At 44.1% G+C, this 15795-nt stretch overlaps 1 protein-coding gene and 1 long non-coding RNA gene across 6 annotated transcripts in view; one reads left to right on the forward strand and one right to left on the reverse strand.

Moving 5' to 3' along the window:
• The window catches only part of ANO1 (anoctamin 1), a 223534-nt gene that overhangs the window by 84973 nt on the left and 122766 nt on the right, over positions 1 to 15795 (forward strand). The window lies entirely within an intron of this gene.
• LINC02753 (long intergenic non-protein coding RNA 2753) lies at positions 5261 to 14402 on the reverse strand. 2 transcript variants are annotated; one of them, NR_120529.1, is made up of 2 exons: positions 12954 to 14402; positions 5261 to 5566 (listed from the first exon to the last, which is right to left on the reverse strand). It is a non-coding gene; the product is annotated as a long intergenic non-protein coding RNA 2753 (long non-coding RNA). The 2 variants fall into 2 exon arrangements; NR_120530.1 differs by having other exon boundaries at positions 12714 to 12955.

Here is a 15795-nt window from a genome sequence, read left to right on the forward strand (position 1 = left end):
GTGCTTCAAGAAACTACCATTGCCATATGCACTTTTTTATTTCAGAGCAAACAGTTTTTATTGCAGTAGACATTCATGAAAGTGTACAGATCATAATTTTACAGTTTGATGAATTTTTACAACATGAATGTATCTGATGATTACCACCCAGATCAAGCTAAAGAACATTACCAGCTCCCCTGAAGCCTCCTTTATGATGCCCACCCACCCCCAGTCATTACCCTGCACCCATCACTGTGGATTCAACTTGCCTGTTTTTGAATTCAGGTGGAAGCAAGCTTTTGCTCTAACCTCATATGTTAGATTCTTCAACATAGTTACATGTAGAAGTCCTTTATTCTTGTTGTTCTAGAGTATTCTGTTGTATAAACACACCACAGTTTTCCTGTTGATGAGCATTTGGGTTGTTTCCAGTTTGGACTCCTATGTAACAGTGAAATTTCAGGGTCGTAAGACAAGCTTGTTTCCCTTCAGGAGTTGCTGCCAAGTTTTCCAAAGTGGTTGTACCAATGAAAACTTATGTCAGCAGGTGTGTGAGATGTCTAGAAACGCCACATCTTCCCTGCCACTTGACATTGTCAGGTTTTGTTTTGGGGTCTGGTTTTGTTTTGCTTTCAGCCATTCTGGTGTGTGTGTTGTGGTATCTCATTGTGGTTTTACGCTGTGTCTTTTGAGGACTAATGCTGGTGGTCACCAAATCATAGGCATATGGATCATGTGAAGAGCCTCTTTTGAGGAAGTGCTCATGCAAGAATTTTTTTAAATTGGGTTATTTGTCTTTTTCTATTCCTTTGTAAGAGTGGCTTACATATTTTGGAGACAAGTCCTTTGAGATTTATATGTATTTCAAATATCTTCTCCCACTCTGTCTTCCCTTTTCACTTACTTAATGTTGTCTTTTGATCAACAGAGTTTCTAATTTTATTGAAGATTTATCAGTCTTTTCCTTTATGGTTACTGATTTCTGTATTCTGTTTAAGAGATGTTTGTGCATCCTAAGGTCATGAAGGTAGCCTCCTGTGGTATATTCTAGAAGCTTTATGGTTGGCCTTTTTGCATCTGGAATTGGCTTTGTGTATGACATAAGGTCAAGGTCCAGCTTTCTCCCTATGACTCTCCACACCATTTATTGATTCCACACCATTTATTGATTCCACACCACTTATTGATTTCACACCACTTACTGATTACACACTATTTATTGAAAACACAGTCCTTTCCCACACTGCACTACAGCAGCACCTTTGCAGTAAATCAAATTGTGGAATATATGCAGGTCAGTTTCTAGAATCTCTGCTTTGATCCATGTATCCTTGAATACCACACTGTTATAACTATTGTTGGTCGATATGAATATCAGATAATATATGTCCTCTGACTTTTCCCTTGAGGGAGTCTTGAGTCTTGTTGGCCTTTGGCATTTCCACATAAATTTCCATATCAGCTTGTCAACCTCTCTTACACAGACACACACACATACACACATGCCTTCTGACATTTAATTGGGATCATATTGAATCTATAGGTCAAGACCAATTTGGGGAGAATTTCTTTTTCTTTTCTTTTTTTTTTTTTTTTTTTTTTTTTTTTTTTTTTTTTTGAGACAGGGTTTTTTTCTTTTCGCCCAGGCTGGAGTGCAATGGCGCGATCTTGGCTCACTTCAACCTCTGCCTCCCAGGTTCAAGCTATTCTCCTGCCTCAGCTTCCCAAGTAGCTGGGATTATAGGCAGCTGCCACCACACCCAGCCAATTTTTTTGTATTTTTAGTAGAGACAGGGTTTCACCATGTTGGCCAGGCTGGTCTCAAACTTCTGACCTCAGATGATCCACCCATCTTGGCCTCCCAAAGTCCTGGGCTTAAGCCACTGCGCCCGGCCCCAGTTTGGAGAGAATTAATGGTTATACTATATTGAGTCTTCCAATCCATGAACATGGACCATCCTGCCATTCATTCCAGTTTTCTTTTGTCTCTCTTAGTAATGTTTGGTGATTTTTCTTTATTGAAGTCATGCATCTTTTTTGTTTGTTCTTATGCATTTAATTTTTTTAATGTTGTTTAAAAAGGCATGAGTTTTTAGGATTTTGTTTGTTCTTAGTATATAGAAGAACAATTGACTTTTGAGTGTTAATCTTGTATTCAGTGACTTTGCCAAATTTACTTTTTGATTCCAATAGTTCATCTGGTTTGCCAAATTTACTTTTTAATTCCAATAGTTCATCTGGATTTTCTCCTTTCAAAATCATGCTTTTGGGGATAAAGTCAGTTTTATTTTTTCCTTTCCAATCCATAACTTTTTATTTCTTTTTCTTGCCTTATTACATCCCTAGAACATCCAGTGCAATGTTGAATAGGAGTGGACGTGGCAGACATCTGTGTTTCAATTCCAACATCAGGGTACAGCTTTCAATACCTTACTATTTAACATGCCATTTGTTGTAGGTTTAGTCATTTCTCTTTAATTTGCTAAGAGTTCTTATACACAGGTGTTAAATTTTACCAAATGCTTTTTGTAGCACCTACCAAGATGATCATTTGGGTTTTTTTCTCCTTTATTTTGTTAATTTTTGAGTATTAAACCAAACTTACATCCCTGAAATAAGTTCAGTTTGGTCATAATATTTTAACCTTGTTAATGGAATTGGTTTGCTGGTATTTTTGTTTAGGATTTATAAGATATATGTATATTTATAAGAAATATTGTCTCATCTTGTAATATCCTTTTCAGGTTCAAATTCATTGGGAAATGGTCTCTCTCCCTATTCCTGGAAGAGTTTCTGGAAGATTGGTGTTATTTCTTCCTGAAATGTCTAGAAAATTTTACCAATGGAGCTCTATGTGCCTAGAGTTCTCTTTGCAAAAACAATTTTAATTAGAAATCAAATTTATTTGTAGATATAGGACATTGTGATTGTTTACCTCTTCTTAGGCAAGTGTTGGGAAGTGGTGCTTTTCTGGAAAATGGTCCGTTTTCTCTAGATTTTCCAATGTATTTGAATAGTTATTAATAATGTACTGACATTATCTTTTTCCTGTCTGTAGAAACTGTCGTAATGTCTGCTTTCTCTTTCTTGTTATCTATCATTTGTGTCTGTCTTCTCTATTTCATACTCTGTCTCCAGTATGGCCCTCAGACCCAGGCAAGAGGGGCCCCTGCCCTGCTCTGGTCCTCCTCCTCCTCACCCCTCGTCACAGGTGTAAAGTCCATGGAGCTAAGGAAACTGCACACCCAGGGCCCACACACCCCTTCCGAGACCATGCCTAGATATTCAGACCATGCCTAGATGTTAATGGACCCCAGCCTGCTCCCAGAGCCTGCAAGTCATCCCCACTGGGTTTGTCCTTTCAAAGGCAAGCCATGGGAACATGGTGTAGGCCAAGAAGGTAGCTAAGGGGCAGATGTTGTGGGGCTGTGGTCAGACCTTGGAGGCACAGGCTCCTCACAGTGCAGGACGGTGCCAGGGTAGTGAAAGTGGGTGGCAGGCACCAGCTCCCCACCACCTCAGCTGCTGGCACACATCTCCAAGGAGTCTGAGACTCCTAAATTTGAACCTAGCCTTCTCTGTTGTAGGAAGGTATATTTGTCAAAGTAGAAACAGCAAATATGTCATTCAATTGTTTGCTAGCTTGATTTATAACTTAACTATTTAGACATGTGGCATGTGGTCTCCACTCTTGTGAGGGGCAGGCCTGAGTCTTGATTGAGTTTTATCAATTTTATTAGTCTTTTAAATAAGCAATTTTAGTTTTGTTGATTTCTCCATTATAAATTTGATTTCTAAATTGTTGGTTTCTGTTCTTTATTATTTGTGTCCTTCTACTTTGGATTTAATATACAGTCCTTTTTTAGCTTCCCGAGTCATAAATTTAGATCATTAATTTTCAGCCTTCTTTTTAGGCTCAAATGCATTTAGGGCTGTACAATTATTTTCAAACACAGATTTAGCTACATATGATGATACCATAATACGATATGGGATATCATATTTTCATGAAATCCAGTTCAAACTGTTTCTAAATTTTCACTGTGATTTAATTTTGTTTTATAGATAAGTTAGAAGAGTATCACTTAATTTCCAAACGCTGAGTTTTTTTATAGTTGTCCTTTTGTTATTGGTCTTTACTTGTTTCTGTTGTTATCAGAGGACAAGATTTCAGTCCTTTGAACTGTGTTGAGGCTGGCTTTATGGCTTAACATGGTCTATTGTGGTAAATGATTTTTTGTGCACTTAAAAAATATGTATATTCAGTAATTTTTGTTGATTTTGTGTGTGTGTATGAAATTCTATGATTTCCTGAAAGAGTTGTGTTAAATTTTAAGTTAAAATATACAATCACAATTAATGGTTTATTCCTTATTTTAGTTCTGTCAGTTTTGGGTTTATGTATTTTGATATATACATAATTTAAAATTATTATATCTTTCTGTTGAATAGATGTACCACTATAAAGCATCCCTTTTTATCTCTAGTAAAATTTCTTATTTTGAAATATATTTATTTGATATTTCTATAGCTGCAGCAAGTTTCTTTCAAGTGTTTGCATGGAATATTAGTATTTTTCCATCATTTGACTTTTAATCATTCTGGTTCTTTTTATTAAAGTGTGTCTTCTGTATATAGTATATAGTTGAAGTTTTAAAAAATTCAGTCTGATAACTTTGTCATTTAATTGGAATATTTAGACCATTTATATTTATTATAATTACTGATATATGTCTGGGTTTACAACCACTATATTACTATAAGTTTTATAGCTGTACCATTTGTTTTTTGGACTTTTTCACCTCCGACTTTTCGGTTAATCAATTCTTTTTTTTAATTGCCATATCTCTTCTATTATTTCGTTAGTTATACATTTCTTTATTATTGTTCAATTGGTTGCACTAGAATTGCCACATGCATCCCTGGCTTTTTAGAGTCTTTCTTAAAACAATATTTACACCACCTTTGGACAATGTGAAAACCTTAACTTTTAGAAATGCTTTTAACTTCATTTACCTTCCCTCCCACCCCACCTTTTGTTTATTTTTGTCATGTATTAATATTACTTACATTTAATCCCCACAAGACATTGTTATTGCTATTTTAAACAATCAATATTCATTTAGCTTTACTCACATATATATTTTCCTTTCCAATGTTCTTTATTCTCTTCTACCTTATCATACTTTCATATGGGATTATTTTCCCTCTGTCTAAAAATTCCTTTTACTATTTCTTTTAGTGCAGGTCTGCTGGAAATGAATTCTCTTAGTTTCTGTTCATCCAAAAACATATTTATTTTGTTTTCATTTTTGAAAGATATTTTCTCTAGATACAGAACCCTAGATTGGCAGTAATTTTCTTTCAGCAATTTCAATATGTCACTCTATTGTCTTTGGTTTCTATTGCTTCTGTTGAAAAGTCAGCCATTTGCCTTATTATTAATCTTTTGAAAATAGATGTCTTTTTCCTCTGGCTGTTTTGTCATTTTTCCCTTTTTTTTGTTTTCACCAATTTTGCTATGATGGGCTGGGATTATTCTGATAGGGTCTGGGCCATACTTTTCAACATTGTGCTAGATGTCCTAGGAAAAAAAATAACGCAAGAAAAATAAATAAAAAGCTATGGATTGAAAAGGAAAAAATAAAACTGGCATTATGCAAATATACCCTGTTTTGGGTTCATAGAGCATATCATATTCTTAACTAAACATGGCCTGGTGTCTCTCATCAGTTTTGGAAAATTCTTGGTCAGACACTTCAAATATTGCTTCTGCCCCATTTTCTCCCTTCTGTTTTTTTCAGAGTTCCAACTGCACATAGGTTAGGTATGTTCAAAAGACTTGGATGTCTCTCATGGTCTTTTCTGTGTTTTACATCTTTTTTTTTTTTTTTTTCCTGTGCTTCAATTTCAATGCTTTCTGTTAACCATCTTTCAGTTTAACTAATCTCTTATATTCTGTCTAATCTGCAGTTATACCTACCTTTTGAATTCTCATTTTTGGCTTTGGAATTCCCATGGATTCTATCTGTACATTCTCATTCTCAAGTGAAATTGTCCATCTTCCCATTTACTGTATTCATCATATTAACAGATGTGTCTAATTACCCCAATATCTGGATCTGCTGTTGGTCTGTTTCTATTGCCCTTTGGTTTTTGTTTGCTTGTTTTACTTTGTTTTGTTTCTGTGGTTCTTAATCATTTAGCTCTGCTTCCTGGCATGTGTGGTGATTTTTAATTGAATCTTGGATATCACGTGTGGACAATGCGGAGGCTCCAGATGATGTTCTCTTCTTCCGAGAGGATTCTTGTCTTTTTGGCAGGCAGAATGCAGAAAGACCAGCTGGTTTCTCTCAGGGTTGGAGATGATTTGAGATTAGCCTTAAGGACTTATGGAAAGCAGGTCTTTTTCTGAGTTCTTGATTGAAAGCCTGGAGAGTTTACTAGGACTCCACCTCCTTAGAGTACCCTGAACTCCAATTTTGTGTGTGTGTGTGTGTGTGTGTGATGTGTGAGCAATAAAGCTTTTTAATCACCTGGGTGCAGGCGAGGCAGACTGAGTCCGAAAAAGGAGTCAGCAAAGGGAGATGGGGTGGGGCAGTTTTATAGGATTTGGGTAGGCAGTGGAAAATTACAGTTAAAGGGGGTTTTCTCTTGCAGGCAGGTGCAGGGGTCACAAGGTGCTCAGAGGGGAGATCATGAGACTCATTGTCCAGGGGAGGAATGTCACAAGGTCGATTGATTGGTTGGGGCGGGGCAGGAACAAATCACAATGGTGGAAAGTCATCAGTTAAGGCAGGAACTGCCTATTTTCACTTCTTTTGTGGTTCGTCAGTTGCTTCAGGCCATCTAGATGTATACCTGCAGGTCACAGGGGATATGATGGCTTAGCCTGGGCTCAGAGGCCTGACAAAACAAAACAAAACAAAACAAAATAGTGGAAAAACAAAACAAAATAGTGGAGAAGTGTTGGGGCAGCAAAAAATTTTGGCTGTGGTATGGAGAGATAATGGGCGATGTTTCTCAGGGCTGCTTTGAGCAGGATTGTGGTGGCATGGGTAATTAGAGTGGGAGAGATTAAACTGAAGAAAGATTTTGGGGTAAGGGGTGATATTGTGGGGTTGTTGGAAGGAGCATTTGTTGTATAGAATGATTGGTGATGGCCTGGGTGTGGTTTTGTATGAATTGAGAAACTAAACAGAAGACACAAGGTACAAATAAGAGAAGGAGAAAAACAGGTATTAAAGGGCTAAGAATTGGGAGGACCCAGGACATCCAATTAGAGAGTGCCCAAGGGGGTTCAGCATAATTATTTACTTGGATGGCAAGTTTTTGGGCTCTATCCTTGAGTTTTTTTATGTTGTCATATACTAGGCCAGATTGATTTAGGTAAAAACAACACTCTTCATTTAAAAATATACAGAGTCCTCCTTTTTTAGCAGTGAGTAAGTCAAGGCCTTGGCGGTTTTGGAGGACAACCGCAGCTAAAGAGTCAACCTGGGCCTGAAGGATTAATAAAGTTTGTGATATGTCTGCGATGCTAGCAGAGAAGTTATTAGAGAAGCTACGGAAGGTTGTGAGAAGATTAGCAGCCTGGTGAATTTTCTGTCTAGCCTGCTGGAGGACTGGAAGATAGTTGCCCAGAGGGCTGGTGTCTGGAACAAGGTTGGGGCCAAGCAAGAAAGCACATCCATATAAAAGTTCAAAAGGGCTGTACCCTGTAGCATCTCAAGGACAGGCGCTAATTCTGAGAAGGGCAAGAAGTAAAAGTACTGTCCAGTCCTCTTTAAGTTGGAGGCTGAGCTTGGTGAGGTGTGTCTTTAAAAGATCATTAGTCCATTCTACCTTTCCTGAAGATTGAAGACGGTAAGGGGTATGAAGGTTCCACTGAATACCGAGAGCCTGAGAGACGGCTTGGGTGATTTGACTAATAAAAGCTGGACTATTGTCCGCCGAGTGCGGTGGCTCACGCCTGTAATCCCAGCACTTTGGGAGGCTGAGGCGGGCAGATCACGAGGTCAGGAGATCAAGACCATCCTGGCTAACACGGTGAAACCCCGTCTCTACTAAAAAAAAAAAAAACACAAAAAATTAGCTGGGCGTGGTGGCGGGCGCCTGCAGTCCCAGCTACTTAGAAGGCTGAGGCAGGAGAATGGTGTGAACCAGGGAGGCAGAGCTTGCAGTGAGCCGAGATTGTGCCACTGCACTCCAACCTGAGCGACAGAGCCAGACTCTGTTTCAAAAAAAAAACTAGCCAGGTGTGGTGGCAGGCGCCTGTAGTCCCAGCTACTCAGGAGGCTGAGGCAGGAGAATGGCATGAACCTGGGAGGTGGAGCTTGTAGTGAGCTGAGATCATACCACTGCACTCTAGCCTGGGCGACAGAGCGAGACACTGTCAAAAAAAAAAAAAAAAAAAAAGCCGAACCATTGTCAGATTGAATAGAAGTAGGGAGGCCAAGTCGGGGAATTATATCTGTTAGAAGGGAAGGGATGACTGCAGTAGCCTTTTTGGAGCTAGTGGGAAAGGCCTTGACCCATCCGATGAAGGTGTTGATCCAAATCAGGAGATACTCAAATTTACGGACACGGGGCATATGAGTAAAGTCAATCTGCCAATCTTGTGTTGGAGTAAATCCACAAGCCTGATGCGTAGGAAAAGGAGGAGGCCTGAGAAAGCCTTGGGGGCTAGTGGCATGGCAGGCAGAACATTGAGAGGTGATGGTCTTACGGATGGATTTCCATGAAGGGAAGGAGGAGGTGGGTAAGCCAGAGGCTTGTATCCCACGTAGAAGTGATCATGAAGGAAAGAAAGAATGGACTGAGCTTGTGAGGCAAGAAGAATGAATTTTCCATGATCGAAGGACCACTTGCCCTGAGTTGGAAAAGACTGGTAGAGCAGGTTTTCAGAAGAAGAGTAGGTGGGACTGATAAAGGAGAAAGAAAAATACTGGCCTTCTGGAGTGGGGGCTGGGATATTAGCGGGTGTGGAGGCGTTGGCCTTTTTTTTTTTTTTTTTTTTTTTTTGCTGTCCTCTTGGCATAGACATTTTCCTTTGCAATAAGATCAGTAGGTTTCTGGTGTCCTTTATAATGAATGACTCCAGCCTTGGCGGCAGGAGAGCAGTCTTAAGGAGAGCCTTTATTAGGGAGGCATTGACAATGAAAGAGCCTTGTGTGGTAAGGAAGCCTCTTTCGGCCCAGATGGCAAAATGGTTATGGAGGAAGTGGAAAGCATATTTGGAGTCAGTATAAATGTTAATGTGCATTCCTTCAGTGAAAGAGAGCACACGAGTTAAAGCAATCAGTTCGGCTTGTTGGGAAGTGGTGGAGGGAGGAAGTGCAGCAGCTTCCATAATGGAGGTGTGGGACACGACAGCATATCCAGCTTTAGCTGGTGAAAATTGATTGGGTTTAGAAGAACTGCCATCGATAAACCAAGTGTGGTCTGGGTTTGGAATTGGAAGAACAGAACCCTGAAGAAAGGGAGAAGATGCTATATGTATTAGGGAAACACAGTCGTGTGGTTCAGGACTTGTGTTGGGTGCTAAGTGAGAAACTGGGCTGAAATTGGGCCCATGGTAATAGCTACTGTTGGAGTTTCAACAAATAGTGAATAGAGCTGGAGGAGTCGAGAGGCAGACAATAAATGTGAAAGGTGTGAGGAGGATATTAATGCTTGAAGGTTGTGAGAACTGTAAAGGGTAAGTGGAGCATAGCCTGTGATTTTGAAGGCCTCTAGAAGTATTAAAGCGGCAGCTGCCACCACACGCAGACATAAGAGCCAGCCTAGAACTGTGAGGTCAACTTGTTCTGATAGAAAGGCAACAGGTCATGGGCCTGGGTCCTGTGTGAGGGCTCCAGCAGCACAGCCTTGGATTTCAGCTGTGTGTAAGGAAAAAGGATGGGACGAGTCAGGGAGTGCTAGTGTGGGAGTTGTCTCCAGGGCCTTTCTGAGAGAGCAAAAGGAGGAATGGGGAAAAAACTTAGGGTCTATGAGATCAGTTAAGTTACGCTTTGTGAGTTTGTAAAGTGGTTTGGTTAGGATAGCAAAGCCTGGTATCCAGATACAGAGTCGGAAATATCCAACAACGCCTAAGAACTAAAGAAGTTGTTGTTTGGTGGTGGAGATTGGGGTCTGGGACATTAACTGAACGTGCAGGAAGGGTGCATGTATGCTGATGGGGGATTATACCGAGATAGGTAACGCTAGGGGAAGAAATCTGTGCCTTGGAGGGGGATACTCGGTACCCCTTTGAGTAGAGATGTTGAAGAAGCAGGATAGTGTCCTGCTGGGAAGATTGGTAAGAGGGGCTGCAAAGAGGAAGATCATCAAAATATTGAATAAGGTGGGAGGCAGATGGGCGAAAAGAAAGCAGATCATGAGAAAGGGCCTGGCCAAATTAGTGTGGGCTGTCCCTGAAGCCTTGGGCAGAACATTCCAGGTGAGTTGTTGGGATTGGTGGGTGCCAGAACTCCAATTTTTGCCTCCTCTTTTCTCTCTCCTTCTCTCTCTCTCTCTCCCCACCTCCCCCTCCCCCTCTCTCTTTCTCTCTCTCTCCCCTCCTCCCTTTCTCTCTCTCTCCTCCAGAATGTTGAGCTTATTTCTCTGAAGCTCCCTTCTCTTAGCCCTCAAGTCCTGTCTGCCTTGGTTTTCTTCCAATTCCTTCTAGCAGCTACCTATAGCAGCTGAGTTTCTCTGTTTGTTTTTTAATCCAGCCTTTATAGATGTTCTTGACACAGCAGCTACTCTTTTGTGGCCAGAAGCAGAGCTCCCCATGATGCTTCTTAACAGTTGCCTACTGGAGCACCTTATGCCTTAGATGGTTGTACACATAAAGGAGTGACTGTGACAGCTAGAGCTTCAGACCGACAACAGAGGAAAAGTCTGATCTTAGGGTCAACCAATTAGGGGAGGGTCTCTACCTCTGTTGCTTCCAACTGCAAGATCTTGAGTAAACCACAGGAAGTGTCAGGGCCTCAGTTTCCTCATCTGCAAAATGGGTCTAATAATACAAAGGCCATGTAATTCATAGACTTTGTGTGAGGATGAGCAATAGAGTATGCAACCAATGGTACTTTGGAAATAGAGAGGTGATTTTTTTCTCTTTCCTTCTTTCTTTTTTTTTTTTTTTTTTTTTTTTTTGAGATGGAGTTTCACTCTTTTTGCCCAGGCTGGAGTGCAATGGTGCAATCTTGGCTCACTGCAACCTCTGCCTCTGAGGTTCAAGCGATTCTCCTGCCTCAGCCTCCCAAGTAGCTGGAATTACAGACGCGTACCACCACACCTGGCTAATTTTGTATTTTTAGTAGAGATGGGGGTTTCGCTATGTTGGCCAGGCTGGTCTCGAACTCCTGACCTCAGGTGATCCATCCGCTTCGGCCTCCCGCAGTGCTGGGATTACAGGCGTGAGCCACCACGCCCGGCCGAGGTGATTTTTTTAAATGATGAAAATACAATGGACTCCAAATATAGGGACACATTCAGGACAAGAACCATTTGCTGTGTGAGGATCCTGCACCCCCCAGTAGACACAGATGAAGCAGAACAACTGAGAACTTGTGTGCATGGGGGCCGCATGTTTTGAACGGACCATGCTGGGGTGAGCTGGGGGAGGGTTCAGGAGCTGCTTTCCCTCTGGAGCCTTGCCCAGTGTCCCCCTCCCCTGGACTACCATGTGCTCCGTGCCTGTCTCAGCAAGGGGGTTCTGGCATCACCGTCACCTGTGTGCATGTCTCTCCTCCATGAGACTGGGCAGGTTCCCAAACCTGCCTGTCCTCTGGGCCCACTAGGGACTGTTGAAAATCTCTGAGCGGGAAGTACTAGAATGTGGATATTTGAAAGCTCCTTGGGTGAAGCAGTGACTATCTAGACGAGCACTCTGTAAATATTGGGCAAGACGTTGGACTTCCCTGGGGCACGAAACTGCCATAGACCAGAATGTGTCTATTATGTTGTTTTTTTGTTGTTGTTGTTGTTTGTTGTTGTTGTTGTTGTTTGAGACAGAGTCTCACTCTGTCACCCAGGCTGGAGTACAGTGGTGCAATCTCGGCTCACTGCAACCTCTGCCTCCCGGGTTCAAGCGATTCTCCTCCCTCAGCCTCTTGAGTAGCTGGGACTACAGGCACATGCCACCACGCCCAGCTAATTTTTGTATTTTTTAGTAGAGATGGGGTTTCACCATATTGGCCAGGCTGGTTTCAAACTCCTGACCTCGTGATCCACCTCCCAAAGTGCTGGGATTATAGGCGTGAGCCACCGCGCCCAGCCGATAATGATTTTTACTGCATCAATTGATGTTTGTTGAATAAAGAGCAGGGAGGGGAGGAAAGAATGGGATGAGGGTAGAGAAAGGCAAGATCAGGGAGAATTTCAGCTCCTCGGGCCCAGACCTGTCATCTTATCAGAACAATCCCAATCCCCTGACAGTGGTCTGGAGACCAGTGACCCTTCGGCAAGAGCATTTTAGCTGAGGAATTTTTGCCTTTCTTAAAGATAAGATTAAATTAATGTGACTCCAAGTCTTACCACAAGGACATTGCCCTTTGCTGGGAAGCCGAGCATTCCCATGTACCTCACCTATGATGTTCTTGGTGCCTCATTACACATGGTAGCAAAAATGCCAAAAGCCCCTAAGAGGACCACTGTGATCCTCTGAAGATGGGGATTCCTAATCCCGCGAACCCAGTTCTTCAGAACCCCGTTTGTTCTGGAGAAATAAGAACTGGTCATACCTAGTCTTTGTTTCCCTCTCTTTTGATCATTTTTTGGATGAGTCAAAATCAGGTCACCACCAGCACCAGGATGTGACATGAAGGGACACGCCTCAGCCCCACAGGGTACATTCCTGCCCTCTTCCCAGACTCAGGTCTTCCCTGCCTCTGAATCTTGCTCTCTCTTTTCCTTGTTCTCACTTTTCTTTCTTTTATTTTCTGCCCTTCCTTTGTTTTCTTTGATTCCTCTTTCTTTTTTACCTGGGGAAAAAGTCTTCAGACTTCTGGAGTGGATTCATGAGTGTGAATGGGGTGTAGCCCGCCAACATCATTTTTTCCCAAGGCACAGAGGCTGTTTCTGTGGCTGGGCACAGCTGAGAGGACCGTCTCATTGTACTGGGGGATTGATGGCTGATGGAGGGAAGGAACATCAGGCAGAGTTTGTCCTGCTTCCCTCGGGCTCCCTATATCATGTTGATGGGGTTGCAACCCTGGCCTGCAGGAGTAGGTCTGGCCTGATGGAGGCTGGGACATCTGGAAGCCAGTGGCCTCTCAGCCAGCCCCTGGCTCTCACGCACACTCTCCGGGAAGAGCCCCAGGTCTCTTCTTCACCCTTCTTCACTCCCCCTCACCCTCCTGGTGGGGGTTCTCTGACCCCAGCCACACAGATGGGCAGGGAGGCATCTCCAAAGGCCAGACGCTTAGCTGAGAAATCATTTCTCAGTTCCTGTGTGGTCCCTTGCTCTTAGCCTTTTTCTCCTTTGTTCTTAGTCCTGTTTTTGCCCTGATTTTTCAGATGGGCGCCCTGGACTGAGGCAAACTTTAATATTGCCCCTGGGATCAGACACACGCTGGCCCCCTCTCTGGCTATGCTGGCCTCCCTGTTTGGGGCAGCAGGTAAGGAAGAGCTGGCTCAGTCCAGGCCAGATGAGAAGGAAATAAAAGTTTTCCTTGTCCCCCTTCCTCCAAGCCTCTTCCTTCTTCCCTTTCCCCTTGCCGTGGGAAGTTCTCTTCCTCCACTCCTTCCATCCCTCGCCGTCTGTGGGCCTGATGCTGATTGTCCTGTTCACTATCAAAATGATCTGGGAGAAGAAAGTCATTTATACTTTAGTATGAGTTTGATCCATAGTTTGTCTTTCCTTGGGCTATTTGCTCTGTGAGTCTCACTGGCAGATGAAAAGTTGAGGGATGCATTACAGACACTCGGGGCCATCACAGAAGAATGGGGGTGGGGGATGGGGAGGCGCTGACAGTAGAAGGACCCTCCAGAGCTCAAGCAGTCACACACACAAGCTGCCACCCCCAGTCCTCAATTGGTTTCCATGCCGTTCATAGTCTGGGACAAAGGACTTAAAAAATATGTGGTTGAGAGTGGCTCTGAGCCCAGCCAGGTACAGGGAGCAGGGGGACCTGAGGCTGCTTGGCTGGGCAAGGCAAGAATGCAGGGAGCTTTTTAAGACGGCTGACTCTGTAGCTCTGATTTTTTTTTCTTATGAAGGAGCAATCCTGTTTGGCTCCAAGCCTAGGGATGGGGCTGGCTCTGTGGAGCAGGTTGCCTTTGAGCCGGGTGGGGCTGCCCCAGGAGTCATCGGCTGCCTCTGGAGGTGGCGAGGTTTCCATCACAGCGGTTGGGGTCTCCTGGATTCAACCATCATTAGAGGAGGCTTTGCATATTGCCGGGGTTGTGCCAGATACCTGGGGGCCTTGACTAAAATGTGTTTCCTGGGCACTACCCCCAGCTCGCTGAATCCAGGAGCAGCCCCGGGATCATTGTGACCTCACAGTTCAGACAGCATCGGTCCCCTGTGGGGGCCACCTTTCCAGCCCCTCCTCCCAGCAGAGGATCCCAGTGCCCTCCTGGCCTGAAGGCCCTGCAGGCCTGGCCTTCCCAACTTCCTCTCTGCCCTTGTCCCCCGTCGTCCCTCTAGTTGGCCTGGCCCTCCCAACTTCCTCTCTGCCCTTGTCCCCCGTCGTCCCCCTAGTTGGCCTGGCCCTCCCAACCTCCTCTCTGCCCTTGTCCCCCGTCGTCCCCCTAGCTGGAGGGTGCCCCAGCCTGGCTGACCTCAGTTCTTGTCCCCAGCACACACAACTCTTCCCAGCCTCAAGGCCTTCACCTGGCTGTGCCGCTGCCTGCAATGTTCCTCCCCAGTCTTGTCAGGGCTGGCTCCTGGGGAGAAGATCTCTGCTCAGATGTCACTTCCCCGGAAGGGCCTTCCACGGCCACCCACGTCGTGTCTCCCCACGCCTGCCCCCACACTCGCTAGCCCGCCGTCCCCTCTTCCTGCTTCCGTCCTCCACAGCAGTCATCACCATCTGATATTCCTGTGTATGCATCGGTTTGCCTTTCTGGCTCCTGGTTTTGCTCTGCCTCCCCGCTGGAAGGTAAGCTCTGTGGGAGTAGAGCAGGGACTTGTTTGCATTGTTTATTCCGTGACCCAGCCCCGGTTCTGTGTCTGGCACATAGAAGTGTCGCTGAATGAATGAATGAATGAATGTCCATTGTGTGAATGAAAGAGTGACAGGTTTGGAGGTCACTGGAGCAGATGGCCAAGTCTGTGACAGCTGTGATAATAAACAGTGATTACAAGCAGGGGGTCAGATGCCGAGCTGCCCTCGTGGGCACTAAGGGTCCCAGGCCCTGAGCTTGCATTCCCAAGGGACCCCATGCTTGGTGTTTGGGGCCCACTCTTAACATCTCAACAGCCTGTCTTCTTATTGGGACTGAGTTGGAAACAGGGGTCCCAGAGCCCACATGACTTGTCCAAAGACACCCTGCAGGGTTGCAGGGACAGAGGGGGAGGAGGCCTGTGCCTGGCACCCATCATCAGTCTCTAGAAAGTTCCATTCTGATAGATGAGTCAGCCATGCCCAACAGTCTCCTGGGACAATCACCCCCACAAACATTTGCCAAATGTCTGCAATGTGTTGAGGGCACATGGAGTCCTCCTCTCCTTGGTGATTTGGTGGCGGGGGCGGGGTGGGTGGCAGCCCTGACTTTGGCCTCCCTGAATGACGGCACAGCAGAGACGTCTGGTCTCCCGTGGAGATTAGACCCCCTTCAGCGGCAGGGATGCTGCCAGCTCCATCACCGTAACTCCACGGT

This window comes from Homo sapiens, chromosome 11 (genome assembly GCF_000001405.40).
Source record: "Homo sapiens chromosome 11, GRCh38.p14 Primary Assembly".
Lineage (NCBI taxonomy): Eukaryota > Metazoa > Chordata > Mammalia > Primates > Hominidae > Homo > Homo sapiens.